Source organism: Homo sapiens, chromosome 3 (genome assembly GCF_000001405.40).
Source record: "Homo sapiens chromosome 3, GRCh38.p14 Primary Assembly".
Taxonomy (NCBI): domain Eukaryota; kingdom Metazoa; phylum Chordata; class Mammalia; order Primates; family Hominidae; genus Homo; species Homo sapiens.
Genome location: NC_000003.12, coordinates 112,606,080 through 112,626,133, shown reverse-complemented (window position 1 = coordinate 112,626,133; position 20,054 = coordinate 112,606,080). Strand labels below are relative to the sequence as shown.

At 38.4% G+C, this 20,054-nt stretch overlaps 1 protein-coding gene across 3 annotated transcripts in view; it reads left to right on the top strand.

Annotated features, from left to right (window-relative positions):
- The window catches only part of CCDC80 (coiled-coil domain containing 80), a 44,347-nt gene that overhangs the window by 15,010 nt on the left and 9,283 nt on the right, over positions 1–20,054 (top strand). For all 3 annotated transcript variants that reach the window (NM_199512.3, NM_199511.3, XM_047447495.1), the window contains 4 exons: positions 7,030–7,166; positions 9,276–9,424; positions 16,053–16,156; positions 18,878–18,958. In NM_199512.3, coding sequence (NP_955806.1) covers positions 7,030–7,166; positions 9,276–9,424; positions 16,053–16,156; positions 18,878–18,958 — 471 coding nt within the window. The remainder of the gene's footprint in view (positions 1–7,029; positions 7,167–9,275; positions 9,425–16,052; positions 16,157–18,877; positions 18,959–20,054) is intronic.

Below are 20,054 nucleotides of genomic sequence, written 5' to 3'. Positions count from 1 at the left end.
CAAGCATATCAGTGTCAAGACCAATCCCTGACATTCCAAGGGGGAAAAGTGCCTGATATGTCAAATGTACAAAACAAGTGTTTGAAGAATGTAGTGGAGGGATTGGCTCTTCCAATTGTAGTCATCAGATAAGGTATTGAAAATATCAGAGAATTTTGAAAAGTAGGTTGATTTAATGGAGGGACCTTGAAAAATGAGTAGGTTTTTTTTCTTTTGATAGAATAATGACTAGATCAAGGTATTTTTGTTTTTGTTTAATTTTTCAAAGAAATACTTTTTTTAAATTTTCAAAGTCAAAGCTATATAAAAAGGTGTACACAGACAAGTCTTGTATCCTTCCTGACCCCTTTACCCTGCTACTCCCTGCACCCACAGGTAATCATTTTTGTTAATTCCTTATTTATTCATTTAGTACTTTTTTAGACAAATACAAATAAATACCTATATATTTTTCTTTTTATACAAAATATAGCATATTATATATATTGTTCCACACCTTGCTTTTTTCACTTAAAATATTTCTAGGAGATCTTTCTTTATGAGTATATAGCAATCTTCCCCATTTCTTATCAAAAAATTGTGAGATTCTCTCATAGTTTAAACATTTTGTCCATGGACACTTGGACTATTTTCAATATTTTGTTCTTACACATATATCACACATACATAGAGCTATATATGAACAAGGTTACGATTAAATTGTGAAATTGTGTGTGCATCTTTCCAATACAGTCTAAGAAACAGGATTGTTAGACTAAATAGAAAATGTAGTCTGAGTGGATACTTCCTGATTTCTCTCCACACAAGTTGAATCATGTTGCAGTTCCAACAACAATGTTTAAATATGTCTATTTCCCCAGACCTCTCCAATTAATGTGTGTAATCAAACTTTTGGATGCTTTTGACCAGTGTAATATGTGAAAAATGGTATCAGTATAGGGTAGTATTGATTTGCATTTCTCATGTTGTGAGTATGATTGAACACATTTTCATGCTTAGGGAGCATTTATATTTCCTTTTTAGTGTTCTTTGCCCATTTTTCTATTGCGTTGTCATCTTTTTCATCCCAATGCATAGGTACTCTATATAAATTGGAAAAAAATTCAGACTCCCACCTCCCCTTTCTACTCCAAGATAATGACTCATTTGTTTAGGAATGAGGTCCAGGAATCTATATTTTAAAATGTTGCTCAGGTGATTCTGATTTGCTATTAGGTTTGATCTAGAGCAGAAGGCTAGGTAGAGGATAAGAGGTGAAGAGAGGGCTAGAAATGTAGTTTGGCACCTGAAATTAGATTTCTAATACCAAGATAAAGTATTCAAACTTTATATGTAAACCATGTGAAGTCACTAAATATTTCTGAATATATTTTTCAAATATATTTATAACTTTAAGATTTGATGGAGTCAATCTGTAGGACAGCAATTCACTTGGACAGGACACACTCTTTATTAATAAGACAAGTTGCTCTTTCTAGAGAAAAAGTGATCAGGAATGGCCAGGGTAGTCCCACCTATCAATTTAATCAGGTCACTCATCTCACAGTGGGGTAGTAGATAGGAAAATGACCCACTCATAGAGTAAAAGGGGAGTAAGCAGATCAATTGCAAAGTAATTTAAACTTATCCATTTCCAATCAAAAGGAAATAAGTTCCAAGCTGGAGGCCAAGGTTATCCTAACTGAAATAACCTGCCATGGACTGCTCAGCACTCCTGGCAATGTTCTTGAGAATAAAAGCAATTTAGCTTCTGCTGGCATCTACCTCCTGGCTTATGCAAAGCACAACCAAGAGAGTTTTGGCCCCTACTGACTTCTTGAAAAGAATCGTTATATTTTAAATGCCTTACAAATATGTTTTATTTAAAAGACCTAATGCATGCAAAACCAATTTTAGAAAAAAATATATATGAATGTGTTTTCTCAAATTACATTAGACTGTGTTGCGGGTTCACAAGATCAAAGGAAAGTGTGAAGGTTTTATGGTGGGTTTTCTACACAGTCCCAGAATCACTCACCTTATCTATACCTTATTACTGTCTTTTTCATATATCTTTCTTATGGGAGAGTTCTAGTGATTACCAAATCTTTACTGAATGCTGGGGTTGTATGCTAGGAACTGTGCCAGCCTGAAAGGATGTAAAAGGTGACCAAAACTCAGTCTCTATTGTTGAATTACTCATATCTAGGGGGAAGACAGATATGTAAACAACTGGTTGCAATGCAAGGTGATTAGCATTATTACAGAAGAATGCCAAAATGTTGAGTGCACAAGTGAGGTGAAGACAGGTTTCAGAGACAATAAGAAGTACTCATGTGGACAGCATTCCAGGAAGAGAGGGCACATTTCTAGAGACCGAAAATAGGGGGCTGGAGCATAACATGTGGAGGAAGAGTTAATAGATAAGTTTATACTGCCATAAATGATCTTGTATGCTATGACAAGGATTTAGATTTTCTCCTCTGGGACAGTAGCTCTTTGTTTTTAGAGTGTATAACAACTACCCAGGAAATTTTTTAAATGCAGATTCCTGGGCTTCACCACCAGTAATTCTGAGTCAATTGATCTGGATCCAAGAATTGTAATTTTAACAAGCACTCCTGGTGACTGTGATGAAGGTGGATAGTGGATCGTACTTTTACAAACTGCTAGAAGAGATTGGGAACTTTCAAAGGAATGCGAGAGGCTAAAGTAGTCCAGGCATTAGTGGAATTGCCTGAACTTAGGCAAGAGAGGGTTGGAGGAGGAGAATCCACGGATGTCACAAGGAAAGCAGTTACAGATGGAAGCTTTAAGCGTAATGCCTAGCACACATTTGGTGTTTAATATGTTATAACTGAAGCTGAATTTTCTGCAGTGTCATTGCTGTCTATAGTGAGTCACGAAAGGACAAATACATGAAAAAATTTAGTACCACCTGAATTTGACTGCTGATGTTTGGGGTTGGAATTTTTAAAGAATAGCACTCTAGGCAAATGTCTTACTACTAGGGCCAGACCTTATCAGCACATAACAGAGTTCACCTTCCCTGGGAATCCCTCACCTCAATAATCTTAGGTCCAAATCCCAGCAAATGGGCTTGAATCTATGAAGCATTTCAGCTGGATCAGGAGTATGTAGACAGTTTAGAGAATGTTTCCTAAAGATTTTTTTCTTCTGGCTGGGCGTGGTAGCTCATGCCTATAATCCCAGCACTTTGGAAGGCTAAGGTGGGTGAATCACTTGAGGTCAAGAGTGTGAGACCAGCCTGGCCAACATGGTGAAACCCCGTCTCTACTAAAAATACAAAAAAAAAAAAAAAAAAAAAAAAATTAGCTGGGCATGGTGGTGCATGCCTGTAATCCCAGCTACTCAGGAGGCTGAGGTGGAAGGATCACTTGAACCGCAGAGGCAGAGGTTGCAATGAGCCAAGATTGCACCACTGCACTCCTGCCTGGGTGACAGAGCAAGACTCCATCTCAAAAATAATAATAATAATTTTTTTTAAAAAAAGAATTTTTCTTTCTAAGCCCTGTAATCCTTACAATCATTAGTGAGCTTAAACAGAGTTTGGATAAATTTAACAAGAACCTGCCAAGTCTATGTTGCTTTTCCAGACTAAAGAGAACCTCAACACTGAGCCCTGATTTAGATAGAATGCAGAGCTCAAGAAAGACCGGTGGCAGGAGCAGGAGCTGAGACAGGATGTAGCTTCACACATACTGGCCTAGAGTGGACTCTGTCCTTCTGTAGAGTTGCCACCACCCTAGTCTGATGCAGTGTTGATTAGGACTTTCATTGTTTTGCTTTGGCAGATTCTCCTACTCAGCACAAACATGTAGATATTCCTATAATCTGGGAGTGCAAAATGTTTTATTTCTAATGTTTGGTTGAAATATTTCAGAAAATATTTTGGTTGAAAGAAAACCGGCTTTGAAATTGGTTTCTTGCCATATACTAGTAAAGCAAAGTTTGCCTTTAATCTTGGTCCTGGGTCCTTTCTACCCTTGAGTGTGAGGCATTTTGGCATAGCAGAGAGAACACTGGGTGGGAGTGAGGTAATGTCACCTGAGTCCTAACCTCACTCTATCATTAACCTGCAATGTGAACTTGAGCAAGTCACTCCTCCTCTCAGGGTCTGTGACAGATTGGGTTTTCTGAGAGACAGAGTCTGAGACTCTGAGTTTTGCCTGCAGGCAGTTAACACAGAAACAATACTTATGAGGGGTGAGAGATACAAGACTGGACAGGGAAAATTTGAGCTGCAATAGAGTTGGACCTTCCAAACTGTCCACTTTGAGACAAAGGGGATAGCTTTTATATCTATCCCCTCTTTTACTACATCAACCATTGAATGTGAGCTGTCCTATGGTAGGGGTGTGACTTGGGGAAAGGTGGCTCCCTTCTAAGTAGATCAATTGTCAGAGATCTAGCTGCTTATATTGACAGCAACCTTAGTTGTGAAGGTAGCAACTGGACAGCACACCACAGTGTCCACTACAGTTTCCTTAGTTTCAACCTTAATAATGTGATGGTGTGGAGCCAGATAATGTCTATATTCAGTTTTCTATTGCCATAATAAGGTGAGGTAACAAAGACCACAAACCTTAGTGGCACATACAGTAAGCATTCATTTAGTGACAAGTTTCTAGGGTTCAGCTGATCTGGGCTGGGCTTGGTTAGGTTTGCTCATGCATCTGCAGTCAGCTACAGGTTGGGTAGGAGGTTCTGCTGATCTTGGCTGGGCTTGCACGCATGCTGGGGGTCAGTGGGCTGTCAGCTAACCTGGGTAGCCTTGGTTAGAATGAGAACAGGGTAACTTGGCTTGACTAAACCTCCAGCAAGCTGGTGTGGGCATATTCTCATGGCAATGGCAGAAGCAAGAACAATCCCTAATGTATAAGCCCATTTCTAGCTTCTGCTTGTGTCATTGTGCTAATATCCCATTGGCCAAAGCAAGTGATATAGATGCGCTCAGAGTCAAGAGGCAGGACAGCTCAACCCATTTCCCATAGGAAGAAGCTGTAGTTACTGGGCATAGGTATAGGGTATAGCTATAGGGAGGGGGGAAGAATTGGTGTTATATTAAAAATCTACTACAATCTCCAACTTCCTTCCATCTGAGCCATTCAGTGATTTTGTGACTTTGTCCATTAAGTAGATGCTAGTGGTCTAATTCTGGTTCTAAGTAGGAGCTTGAACTCTGTCCAAGTTATTGATTTCTGAATCTAGCACTCAGCACAGAACCAATTCTGGACATTAGTGATAAATATTTCGTTGAATGAACAAAAGCAAGAATGAATGTATGTTGGGAATTAAAAATTGTAATTTCCAAATACAAGATAAAATCTGGTTTGTAAAGTCTTAGAATCAGAACATTAGTTAAGAACATTTTTTAAAAAGCAGTTTTTGAATGATTTTCTTTATTATTAGTATTACTATTCACAAAGTAAAATATGTTCCTTGTTAAAATTTGAATAACATAGGTATGCAGAGTAAACAATAAAAGTTTTCACTTCACCTTTTCCTGTGGACTTTTTCCTATGTGTATTTCCAAATGAATGTATCTTCTTTTGTTTTTATTTCCTTACAACCAGGAATAAAGTCATATTATGCATTTTGTTTTGCAACTTGTTTTTAATACTCAACAAGATATATTTAAAAATATAAATCTAATAATTGTAAATTAATTTAAATTTTTTCTAATAACAAAAATGTACATTTGAAAAATAGTTTATATGCATGAGGCCTATCACTTTTTATGTTGCAGACAGTGCTTGGTTCTCATCTAGGCTCTCAGCTCCTTTTCCTTTGGACCACCTCCATGAAGCACTGTTATGACTTTGGGGAGGAAAACAGATTGATTCTTTCCCCTCTCATTTTGATTTGCTTTGGAGAAATAAAGCTCCTTCTTTATACACTTTCAGCAATCCTAATCAAATAAAAGTAACAGTTAAATTGTAATCATCCCCTTTTTATTAATGAAGAGTAATGTCTGTGGTACTCAAATTATAACATCTTATTTGCAAAATTGTGGTTGTTTTTACTGTGATATAGTATTGTAGTACAGTGTTAGTCACTGGGTAGTGATGTTGGTAATAAGTGATAGGCTCTCATTGGTAATTTTCCTGTTATCATATATTTGCTAACATTAATTTTTTCACATTTGTTTTTAATATAGGGGATTATTTTGCAGATAAAATCTTAGGTAGGGTTGAGAGATATACTGTGACTTGTTTTAGCGGGAAGAAGTAAATAAAGCTCTTCTGTCCTTGAAAATGTTAAAATGCTTTCCTGACATACAAGTTGCCATGTAAAGCCACTAGTATCTTGATTTTCATGCTTCCCATTAATCCAGTGACACCTTCTGGAACCATTCTGAATTATAAGGATTTATTTGGGGAGGCTGATGATTGAAAAAACATATAGTGATTTAAAATTTCCATAAATTGTCACATTTTGTTTTAAACTGTGTTCACTTACAAAATTTGCATTATGAATAGCTTGACTTCTTTTGGAGCCCAAATGAAACTGTGACTAGGTTTCAACAGAAACTCTATTTTTCTCTATAGATATGACATGCTTACTGGGTCCCAAAGTTAATTCTATACCAAAAAAGAGGAACAGACACAGGTTTTAGACTCAGAATTATGTTTAATGGAAACAGAACTTAACAAATTGTCTGGGTCGGTCCAGTTCCCCGGTGAGTTAGGGTGAAGACTCACTCCCTGGGTGAGTTGCAGTCTTCTCCTAGGTATGACTCAGCAGTCTCCACTCTCACTTTGTTCCTTTGTTCCTGTTTGCTGTGAACAGGATGGACAGAGATGGAGCCTTGATCATCTATAGAAGAGTAGCTTTCAAAACTTTATTCATGTGTTTATTTCTATATTTATTAATTTACTCCGAAAACTTTTGTTCAAACACAACGTGAGTTGAATATATAAAACTAATGAAGGCTGGTGTGATTAGGCCCAAAGCCTTCACCCATTCACCTCCCAATGATTTCTGCCTTGCCACACCCATATTCATTCACATTTTATTTCCCTTAAGATAATGAGAAGCCCATGCGAGTGGTGGATGATGAAGACTTGGTAGACCAGCGTCTCATCAGCGAGCTGAGGAAAGAGTACGGAATGACCTACAATGACTTCTTCATGGTGCTAACAGATGTGGATCTGAGAGTCAAGGTACAGTTTCTTATTCTGAATAATGTAGTACTATTTCTTAGAATAGCAAATCTGAATTGTTTTGTTAAACAGTCCATTCAATGTACGAGTAAGCATAAATTATTTTATAAATGGGAAAGTTTTGAGATGGGCCAAATTTTCCATGTTGTCCTACGAATTTGCATCCAGAAATGTGGTCTCTGACAAAGACTGAGTTGGAGTGACTTCCCACAGCCCAGCTACTTGACTCAGACTAAATTCTTTTCTAACAACAATGTTTTACATTCATAAGACACTAGTTAAATAGCTATGATGTGCGAGGTCCTGGAGATAAAAGGTGAAGAGTGGTCTCTGCCTTCAAGAAACCCATATTTAACATAGGCCTATCTCAGAGGGGTCTAGAAGTGTGCCTCCTGATCCAATGTGGACAAGAGTTTGGGGTTGTTTTTTTTTTATTATTTTGAGACGGAGTCTCACCCTGTTGCCCAGGCTGGAGTGCAGTGGCGTGATCTCGGCTCACTGCAAGCTCCACCCCCCAGGTTCACGCCATTCTCCTGCCTCATCCTCCCGAGTAGCTGGGACTACAGTAAGCACCCGCCACCACACCCGGCTAATTTTATTTTTGTATTTTTAGTAGAGATGGGGTTTCACTGTGTTAGCAAGGATGGTCTCGATCTCCTGACCTCGTGATCTGCCTGCCTCGGCCTCCCAAAGTGCTGGGATTACAGGCGTGAGCCACCACGCCCTGCCAAAAGTTTGGGGTTTTACACCTAGTTTCTTTCTATGCTTGCGGACAAAAGTTCTGAACCATGAAAAACTATACCATGTAATAATAACAATAACAAAAATAGTCACTTTATCAAGTGCTTTCCTTATGCCTGGCACTTTCTTCAACCCTTTGCAATCCTTAGTCTCACACGTCTAAGATAAATGCTAACATTATTTTTGTTTCACAGAGGAAAAAACAGAGGCCCAGAATGGTTAAGTAACTAGCCCAAGGTCATCATGCAATTAGTGTTGAACTTCATTCCCACAGAGGCTGGCTCCCGAACCCACTGTCTTAACAATTTTGGCATACTGGCACTATATCACTGAAAATACATTTTACTAAAGTTTATCTTAATACTTCTTTAAAGCATTCCCTAAACAATTTTTAAAACAACTTATCAAAATGTTCTTTTAAAATTCCAGGCTTCTGAAACCATGTGAAATGGGGAACACAAAAAATGTTCATGAAAAAGTCATTCATATACCATGCTTGTGTGAGAATCTTCACGGGAAAAAAAGGCTGTCTATGCTATCAGAATAGCTGACCCAACATGCAACATATTTCTGGATCTGGAGAAATGGCATCATTAGTTAATTCTGCACACATGTTGTCTCATCTCTAATGAGAGAGGTTGGGCCAGATAATCTCTAAGGTCCTTACCAGCTCTCACATTCTGTGATTTACTGAATTCCCACAGAGGGCAGAGCTTCGAGCCATGTCCAGACTGCTCTCCAGTTTATGCTGATTACGCTCAGCCAGCCCCTAAATCCATCTCAGGTTGCTTTTGTAAGTCCAGGCAGCTGTGATTCAGGAATCTGAATTTCATTGTCTTTAAGTTGGATCCCAACTTATTTCTGAGAATAGGTGAACAAAAATGACTTAATATTAAGTGATGTTTACTCAGTAAAACAATCCCTGGGACCACAGAACAGGCCTTGGTGGAAAACTACTCTTATTGCTCAGGTTACACACTTGAACATGTTATTCCATTTAGTTTCCTGTGTTAGGTACAGTGTTTCTCAGTTCTTCTCCAGTTGTTAGTAAATAAGAACCAGCTTAGTCCCAAAGGTAGAGAGGTGAACCTAGGACTTGTATGGTGAGGAAGGCATGGACCCTTTCCAATAAAAGGAGCGTAGTTAAGAATTACTTGTAAAAGAGGCAGTTGTTTTATGGACTCCAACTCTCAAAACATCAGCAAAGGGTACTATTGCAGGAGAGCATTTATGAAGCAATGAATCTTCTAGGCTCTGATTTCAAAGATTTCCCCAGAGCTCCTCTGAATTCTCACAGGTTCTCTATCCTCTGAATAGAGAGAAGAAATGCACTTGTACATTAAATGCATTCTGTTTTTTCTTAAACAGCAATACTATGAGGTACCAATAACAATGAAGTCTGTGTTTGATCTGATCGATACTTTCCAGTCCCGAATCAAAGATATGGAGAAGCAGAAGAAGGAGGGCATTGTTTGCAAAGAGGACAAAAAGCAGTCCCTGGAGAACTTCCTATCCAGGTACATCACCTTTGGAGTCGCTAAAGAGGAAGGTGCAAATTTGTTCTGAGTGAGCTCATGAAAATGCCAAAGAAACACAGATCCCACAGGTGTTTACAGAGAGTAATCCTCCTTGGAGAAAAACCTACCCATCTCTGGCCACTGAGCTTAGTCTTGTCCTGTTGAAATGTCTCTGGCTACAGGGCTGGCTGGCTGCAGCTCCAAGCATCAATGTTGATTTGGTGACTCAGGATAGGTCTTTTCTCTGTTTTTTTTTTTTTCTTTTCTTTTTTTTTCTCTTTCTTTGGTACAGAATATAGAATCCTGACCTCCCAAGAAAGTTAATTTACTCAGTCAGTAAATCTGGAGATCTCTGCATGTAGCATTTTTATTTTACATATTTATTTATTAGGCCCCTTCTGGTTCCAAACAGGATTTGGCACACTGTGCTTGATTTTCCGCTTCCTTCCAACTCTGCAGGAAACAACAAAAGCCCCACTAAGACCTCAAAAGGAGAAATCCTCTTGACCCAGTTTCACGAATTTTTCGACACTGTCGTTTATTGAAGGCCATCTTGTGGCAACCCCAGTGTCCATGGGGGAGGAGCATACCCAGAGAAGAGTGTAAAAACAACTCCATCTGTTACAGGACAGGGGTCCCAATCCAGACTCCAAGAGAGGGTTCTTGGATCTCGCGCAAGAAAGAATTCAGGACAAATCTGCAGTGCAAAGTGAAAGCAAGTTTACTAAGAAAGTAAAGGAATAGAAGAACAGCTACTCCATAGACAGAGCAGCCCCGAGGGCTGCTGCTTGCCCATTTTTATGGTTATTTCTTGATGATATGCTAAACAAGGGGTGGATTGTTTGTGCCTCTCCTTTTTAGACCATATAGGGTAACTTCCTGACGTTGCCATGGCGTTTGTAAACTGTCATGGTGGTGGTGGGAGTGTAGCAGTGAGGACGACCAGAGGTCACTCTCATCGCCATTTTGATTTTGGTGGATTTTGGCTGGCCCCTTTACTGGAAACTGTTTTATCAGCAAGGTCTTTATGACCTGTATTTTGTACTGACTTCCTTTTTCATCCTGTGACTTAGAATGCCTTAATCGTCTGGAAATGCAGCCCAGTAGATTTTAGCCTCATTTTACCCAGCTCCTATTTAAGATGGAGTTGCTTTGGTTTAAACGCCTCTGCCAAATCCACTTTTCTCCCTTCCCCTCCCCTCCCCCGATGTAGGATGAAACTTCTACTGAGACTTTGGGGCCCTAGGAGGTGCAAAGCTGCAGAAAACTACACACAACAAACTTACAGAGGTCCCAGTATCAACACCACTCCAACTATACTGTGTGGTTAAGGGGTTCCAGAAACCAAGCAAGCATGTAATACACATTTAGTGCTTGAGCCTCCAAGCAGAATCTTTACTCATGTCTCTAAAAGCACATTCTCCATATGTGAGACAGAGCATTAAGAAGGATATGATTAGTAAGTGGATAAACCGAATTTCTACAGATTTGTGAGGCTTGGGTCTTCTGGGATGTAACATCATGATATATAAAGGGTACAGAACTTACCATTCATCCAAGTTTTGAGTCTGTAACTTACTAGCTATGTTGATCCTTTTCAATTAACCTGCCTCAAAAATCTCTCACCCATAAAATTAAAAACGATAGCAAGCAGCTCTATCTCCATCCATCTCCATTTCACATAGCCATTATACCTGTGAACACTTTTTGTGTGCTAATCTCTGTGCCAAGCACGTCACCTTCATTCCCTAGTTTTACCCTTACAAGAATCCCATGAGCTAAATACTGTGACTATTGTCATGTTGCAGGAGAGACAACTGAAGCCAATGGAGATTAAGTAACTTTCTCTCATCACTGAGCTAGTGTCATCTCTAGGAAGTACCCTGGGACAATCTGACTCCCCAAATCTATCGTCTTATCTTATGCTCCTTTAGAAAATGTGAATTATTATTAGTTCTGAACCTAAAGGCCTAGAATTTGAAGCAAAGGAAGATACTCTTAAAACCACAGAATTTCGGCCCTGAAAGGAACCCAAGGCTCTTCCTTCATCCAAATTCTCAATGCAGTACAAGTATCCGTAATGGAAACAGAAGGCACACACCTTCATAAGGACTTAAAATCAACTCAGCCGTAGGGGCAGCCTCCACTGAGAAAGGGCTCTGAGCTTCACGGGACAATGGCTCTTTGTCTGGTCTCGGGGGTATTAAAACACCAACTTCTGATCCAAGATCATCACTCCAGATGACGATAATTGAAAAGATTTATGCTAAGAGCTTTTCTTTTGCTCTTGAGGTGCTTTTCTTTTTTCTTTTTAAGGTAAAAATTCTTTAGAAGTTTATTTTTTATTTTAACAGTGATAAATATACTTCAAGTTACAAATTCAAGACCTCAGTTCCCAAACTTCTGAATTAGGCTTCGAAATTTTATTTTCCAATTTATAACCTAGCAAATTTTTGCCATCACTTTTAAGAGGGCTTTGAATAATGTTTGATCTTGCTTATAAACCCAGTAATTAAACAACTTCATCATTTCACGTAGGCATTATACATTTAATACATTTCTTTCAATTATTTGAAATTAAACAAACAAAATCTTTCCTAGTACTTAAAGATCTGTAAGTTAATAAGTTAATTTTACAAATACAGTGAATCTAACGTTCTCTCAGATGTTCTAAAAACTGCATACACTGTAAGATTTCAACTTACCTGCATGCCTAAACCAATTACTTAATTACACATTCTAATTTGTAGTTTCAAGTTGTCATTTTATTAGGCCAAATTCTCTTAAGCTTCACAATAATATATTTATATACATATACATATATAACCAGAATTATAGATATATACAAACATATATATAATTATTACTATATTACTATAATTTTGATTCTTTGGAAACTTTTTCTTCTTAATTCTAAATCTTCCAGGGTTAGTGATCTATCCCAGTAAACTCAGGTTGCCCACCCTATAAAGCAGACAGTTATCATCCAGTTCATTGATGTTACTTAAAACCAGAGATCTGTCGTGAGACTGGCAGCTACAGACATCCTCAGAGATTCTTCTCACCATCCCTAGGTAGAGTGTCTTTTTATAACCACTATGTCAAGGGTTTCAAAATTTGAAAGGGAAAGCTGACATTATCTCAATTTTCTTCATTCACAAAAGCTTATAATACTCCTGTAGGTTGGTTACTTAAATTTTGTATTTTTTTTTATTCTCAAGAAAGTACAAATATTATAAAGTCTTTTGTACTAGATGGGGTCCTAACATATGTAAATGTATTTTCCACCTAATGTAAGAGTTTTATGGGCTCTTATCTTCATTACTACTATAGGAATATACATCTTTTATGGATATTCAGAGATATATATAATTACAATTTGGATGTCCCATAGCGGTGCCTGATTTGTAGTCATAACTCATAAAATCATTCTGCTAATAATTGTAATTTATTTGAAGGATTAAAGTGGAATAGTGTACTACTTAAGGCACAAGCAAGACAAAATGAGTTTGATTCCAGGTTCCTCTATTTACTAGCTGTGTGACCCTGAGCTAATTACTTAAACACTCTGGGCTTCAGTTTTCTCATTTGCAAAATGAACATAGTAAGTGTATTTTTGTTTAAGATTGTTGTGAAGGGTACATTCAATACTAAAGGTAATGATGGCCCAGGACCCAGTACAAAGCAAGTAGTCAATAAATGCTACTTATTAGTAGTCCTAGGGTCAGTTATTCTGGTCCTATAGAGAACTTTGCCATCCAGGAAGAGCTACCAGAAAGAGATTTAGTAAATACTCCAGAATTGAAACCCAGGCAAAGAGAAATGAAAAAAAAAAAAAAAAAAATTACAGTCCTGTAATTAAACCAGTATCCAAATGGGAATTTTCCTTCAAATTTGCTGAGTGGTTGATGGGTTTACACAGGCTAGTTTCAGCTGACCAGACCCTGAAGCCAGTCTAGTCTTCAACAGCACTCATTTGGTTCAGGGTATAATCACCTTTCCCTGAGACAGAAACCCCAAAGAGTGGGCAAATGCATACTAATTTGGGCATGCCAGTTAAGAGAAGCAAACACATTCACAGCTTGTAAAGTTTTTATTTACTGGGAAGCTAAAGTGACAGAAAAACAATTTGTCTAAAATAAGGGTCTGGGTCAGTTTCATAACTCTTGTTACATCTTTTGGAAGTTTCCTTCCGTGTCATGAGCTGCAACCTTGTATCTTAATGTGAAGGTCTGTGGGAAGCTGAAACATGACTTAGGGGAAATGACCTTCTCTTAGTTGTGTCTGGGACAGGGAGTCTGACATCCCATCCCTCTCCAATCAGGACTGCATTCAGTGTGCACATAGGTAAACAAACCAAAATAGACCTCACCCAAAATAGCTCCTTCCAAGACACCCTACAGCTCTGTGTGAGGCCAGGAAGGCTAGTCTGGTTTGGATGCTGGCTAGGGGGCCAGCGCTGGTCTGGCATGCCTCCTAAGGAAGCAGGAGAAGTACCTGAGACTGTTGTGTTTGTGATCCGACAGCAGTTACTGTTCCCTTTCCTAAGAAACCTTGGACAGTCTCAGAGGCTCCTTTCTTGTCCTTTGTGCCAGACACATTCAGCTCCCTGTCCTCAGTAGAGATTTTAGTTTTTCTTTCCCTTTTTAAAAAAAAAAAAAAAAAAAAAGCAGAGGAAGTGAATGTAATGTCACAGCAAGCAATACTTGGCGAGCCTTGCGGCAGGCATCCATTCAGAGGTTGTATTTCATCAAACTATCATTTTCTCTTATTCACCCAAACCACTATTCCCTCAAGAGGCCATTTTCTTTGGGGTTGAAAACTCTCATGTTCACTCCTGATGCTAGAAGGGGCACAGGGATCAAAGCCATGAATAAAATTAACTGGCTGTCAGCTCTGTGAGTGCACCAACACCCTGCGGTCACCTGCACTGAAGGCAAAAAGCAAAACACCAGTGAAGATGGAAGTTGAGACAACGCTATACAGTTGCCCCTTAGATGCATACCTTCTCTCTTTTTATACCCTCTTGCAGACCCTGATAGCACCAGCCAAAATATCAGTGTCTGAGGGTAGTAGGTCGGGGAAACCGCTGGACCTGGAGTCAGAGAAGTGTCTGTATTTTGGTAATGCCTCTTAGATTTACTAGTTGGGCAAGTTATTCACTTCTCTAAGCCTTGTTTTGTTATCTGCATAATGGGGAAAATAATCCGCAGCCTCACTGAGCTCTAATGAAGAACCATATTGCGTTGGTGAAAGTGAGCTATAAAATGATACACAAACCTAAGGACTAAGAATAGGTTATTTGATGGTGCCGTGATGGATAATGTCAACGTCTGTTAATGGATAAAGTTCTACACCCAGAAGCCTGCAGATTAAGACATAATCCTCTATATCCATGTTATCATGTGGATAACTTGCATTGATAGATTTGAGAGTCTAATTTTTGTAACATTCCTGTGAACAACATACTGCTGTTTTTGATTTTAGAAATAAGGAAGGCTGGGCGCAGTGGCTCACGCCTGTAATCCCAGCACTTTGGGAGGCCGAGGAGGGCAGATCACCAGGTCAGGAGATCGAGACCATCCTGGCTAACACAGTGAAACCCCGTCTCTACTAAATATACCAAAAATTAGCCGGGTGTGGTGGCACGCGCCTGTAGTCCCAGCTACTCGGGAGGATGAGGCAGGAGAATCGCTTGAACCTGGGAGGTGGAGGTTGCAGTGAGCCGAGTTCATGCCACTGTACTCCAGCCTGGTGACAGAGTGAGACTCTGTCTCAAAAAAAAAAAAAAAAAGAAAGAAAGAAAAGAAAAGAAATAAGGAAAAACTGAGACTTTGGTGAATTGAGTGACATGCTCAACGACACCCAAAAAGACAAAAGCTTTTTCTGCTACTCTACTGTGTTGGAACTGTAAAAACAGAAACTAAGTTTACTATATATTCTAAAATCTTATGGTTCTAGGCTTAATATCATTCCACTTTATAGAAGTACTTTGTAAGCATTGGCGCTTATTAATAATAGGGTACATTTTAGAAATTGCATTTGCCTCTGGAAGAACCACTGGCTACTGAGGAAGGTACATAGGGTTTCGTTTTTCCAGGAATCCTCTTTGAACCTTTAAACCACTCTCCCATTTTCCTTTTTCCTGTCACTGTAATCTACTTAAAATACAGTTATCTTTTTCTACTCTATCTCCTTTCCGTATATTCATTTCTTAACCCCCTCTAAACTCTAGCAGTAACTCCACTAAGACGAGTTCTCTTCAGTTGTCCTCTGAGTTTCTCATTTCCATTGCTACAGTTTAATGTACAATTTTGGCCTGTCTTCATTGCATCTGAGAGTTTGTCTCTCCCCAAGTGACCTCATTAGGCATTGTGACCACAGACTCATGCTTGACACGTCATGCAAATGCCAAAGCAGAAAGACTGTGAAGTTACAACAGAAAAACTACAGGAGTGTAGCAATGCAGTTTAATGGCTTTGAGAAGCATGGGACAGTTCTCTGTTTTTTTCTTTTTTTTTTTCTGGGCACAGAAAAAAATTGCTAGCCTAAGTCACTCTGGTTTCCTACATTGGTTTTTATTGTTTGAAGCAGTAAGCAGTAATGGTGTCCTGCTTTTTTTTTCCAGGTTCCGGTGGAGGAGGAGGTTGCTGGTGATCTCTGCTCCTAACGATGAAGACTGGGCCTATTCACAGCAGCTCTCTGCCCTCAGTGGTCAGGCGTGCAATTTTGGTGAGTGGGAAGCCACCTCATTACTGCTTTCCCATACCACTCTCCTCCTGGTCAATTCTAAAATGGAACATAGAACCTTAGATCATTCAAAATGATTCCTAGTTCAGACTGTTCAGGTTTCCAGACACATACTCTACTATATTGAGTATAAAGTTGCTTTTAGACTGGAGCTTTAGTCAACTGTGGATTTTTTTTTCCCTCAATATTCTCTCCTCTCTAGTTCTTCTTCATTCATGTGTTTGAAAATATCTTCTGATTTACTTTTAATGATCTGTATCATTTATCTTCAGTTTTTTTTTAAATTGTCTCACTTAGGTATTACCATTCACTTAGGTAATACTCGAATATCTACTTACATACCATCACTGGATACTCCATAGATTAAATGTCTTTTTTAAAATAGGAATGGCTCTGGGAATAATATATTAATTGAAGCAGACTATATTGCCCTTCTCTTAAAAATGATTTTTATCTTCAAAACTCAGAAGACTTAGTGAAAGAATTTTTTTTAAAAAAGGATTTTTATCTATAACTGAGCACTAAGAAAGTAGCAAGATCTCTTAAATAAAACCTTATTTTAAAGACAAGCAGGCCAAAGAAAAACATAGTTTACTGTTTTTTGTAGTGAATCGCTCAGAATTTTGAAAACGAATATATGCTTTATTTACCAAACATTTTTATTCTAGTGTCCTGAGAGAGCTAATGTCATTTTGGATATGGATATATAGGCAGTAAAATGAATAGTATATAGAACTTACTACTAAGTTCAATGATAAATCAAGGAGATGACTACAATTTCAAAAGTAGAAGTCATGAGTGAAATCTCATATGAGATATACCTCTGCAGAAGAAGAATTTTGAGAGATTCACTGGGCAGGGGCAGGGGCAGGGGGAAGTAGCTAAGGGCAACAAATTAAAAAATTCTCCATTAGAACATAGATGAATCACCATTATTTTGATGCCTCTATTAGGAGGAAGAATCATCTACTAGTTACAAAACTGTGCTTGATTTGTTTTTTAAAAGGGAGGAGGGTAAGTTTTGTAAAGCATTAACAGAGCCAAGGTCCTTGTTATGACCTAGTATGTGTAAATTATAAGTACATTTTAATTTTAAGATATGAAATAACTCAAAGGAAGGCCAAAACCAAACTCATAATAGTAAGAACAATAGAAAATTCAGAAATTTTTATTTGTACTCCTATTATCAAGGTTAATAATTTAAGACTTTATATTAACATATAAATTTGATTGTGCTAGTATTCTTAAGCACACTTTAAATTATTTATAGCCACCAATGTGGCCAGTTAAGATAGAAATTCTTACAGCAGTTAAGAACCTTTACAAGAAAAATATAAATAAAGCCACAGTTTTTAAATTTTCCAAAGATGCTTTTGTAGCAGCTATTTGGTGGTACTTTATCTTTAAATCTCTGCACACAGATCCTATGTCACATTGTGAAAGCAAACTCTTTTGTACTATACCCAAAATGCGAACAAGTCATGTTCACATTTATTAATTAATGAATAATTAAATTGATGATCTTCCCTTTTGAAAACATGACTAACCAATATGTAGAACAGAATAGTTCACTTCTCTGGGAAAAGAGTAAAGGTGAAAAAAAAATTTTTTTGAATAGCATTTTGCCTAGATTTTAGCTTCTCCTTAGAAGTACCCTCCCATGGCAGTGTTCACTTTTCTCTCCTGGACAATAAACAGCACCAACAACCTTATTATTAGTTCCAAGTTATTATCCTGACTAGGTTGGGACTTTATTTAAAACTATGAAAGCTTGATATGATGGCTTGACAGCCCCTTTGTCCTCCTATTTTCTTTCTCTGGAATCTCTTCATATCCACTTCATCTTCAAAAGAATTCCAACAAGCTACCAAGGCATGACCTTCCCTCCTGTCCTGAAACTTTAGCAGAGGATATGAAGGCAAGCTGTGCTTGCTTAAATGTCTTCCCTTTTAATCCTCTAAATTAGTGATAAAAACATATCCTTTAAGCCACTACAGTTTTGTGTGAGGAAGCAGAACAATTTCAATTTCTTTAACCATCACAATTGATGGAGTCTGTAGTCTTTTCTCTGAAAGTTAAGTTATCCTAAAAGCTGTTATAAATTCAGAACACTAACTAGCTTAGATCAGCTCAGATATTTTAATGTTCCAATGAATTGCTTCATCTTTTCTTTTTTTTGAGACCGAGTCTCTGTCACCCAAGCTGGAGTGCAGTGGCGCGATCTCGGCTCACTGCAACCTCCGCCTCCCGGGTTCAAGTGATTCTCCTGTCTCACCCTCCCGAGTAGCTGGGACTACAGGCACGTGCCACCACACCCAGCTGATTTTTTTTATTGTTAGTAGAGACGGGGTTTCACCATGTTAGCCAGGGTGGTCTCTATCTCCTGACCTCGTGATCTGCCCACCTCGGCCTCCCAAAGTGCTGGGATTACAGGCATGAGCCGCCGCGCCCAGCATGGCTTCATCTTTTCTTTTCTTTTTTGTCATTTAGTAGAATGAGAATCACAGTTCATCTTCTTTGAGGTTTTGAAAGTATTTTCTTCCTTATGGTAAAAATTTAAAATGGATTATTCTTCTCAATCGGGTTATGCTCTATATTCTTTTTAAATTTAAGAGATTTTTAATTGTCAGATATCAGGGCTTTGAAGTAAAAGATAACTTCTAATCCTTTCCTCTAATCCTATGGTTTTCTTTTTTCTCTCAGGTCTGCGCCACATAACCATTCTGAAGCTTTTAGGCGTTGGAGAGGAAGTTGGGGGAGTGTTAGAACTGTTCCCAATTAATGGTAATGTGTTGTTATCTTGAAACAGTATGAACTAGTGTTAAGTTCAGTTAAATTACATTAAGTTATATGCAAGCAGTGGGTGTATCTCTAAGGTGAACAAAGTTCATTGAATCCTCCTCCCACTTCATGCATTTGTGCATGTGTGCCTGTGTGTGCACGGGATATGTAGGGGAAGGGGTGTGGAGTACAGGGACTAATATTATTTCTAATATAAACCATTCCAAGTAACAGTAAAAATATCCATTTTTCTTAACTAAAATAATGCTTTTTGGGGGTCCGTATAGGTCCTTATGGTTTACAAAGCATTTTCTTCTATTTTATATCATTTAATTCTCACAATAGTTTTGTGAGGCACATAGGTCATATCTCATTGATTCCCTTTCAACAGATAAGGACATACACTAAAAGGCTCAGAGAAGCTGAAAGACACATACACTAAAAGGCTCAGAGAAGCCGGGCATGGTGGCTCACGTCTGTAATCCTAGCACTTTGGGAGGCCGAGGTGGGCAGAACACTTGAGGTCAGGAGTTCGAAACCAGCCTGGCCAACATGGTAAAATCCGTCTCTACTAAAAATACAAAAATTAGCCAGGCATGGTGGCATGCGCCTGTAGTCCCAGCTACCTGGGAGGCTGAGGTAGGACAATCGCTTGAACCTCGGAGGTGGAGATTGCGGTGAGCCGAGATCACACCACTGCACTCCAGCCTGGGTGACAGAGCAAGACTCCATCTCAAAAACAAAACAAAACAAAACAAAACAAAACAAAACAAAACAAAAAAAGACTCTTGACTGAAGTTTTCAGAAAGCAAATCCAGTCCTTTCTTCCAAGACCAAGCTCTTTAAATAATGTGTGTAAAATACTTGGCAGAATGCCGGACACAGCAGACTTGAAAGTGTCAGCTCCTTTTCTCCTTCCCCTCTATTCTTTTCACTATTCACAATAGTTTAAATATTCCTCTAGATCTTAACAGAATTGATATTTTCACTTTTAACAATGAAATAAGCTTTTTATCATTAAGATGTGTCAAAAGGTAAGCTGTAGTTACAGAGAAGTAACTAAGCTAATTGGAAATAAACTTAGAAAGATAAACTATAT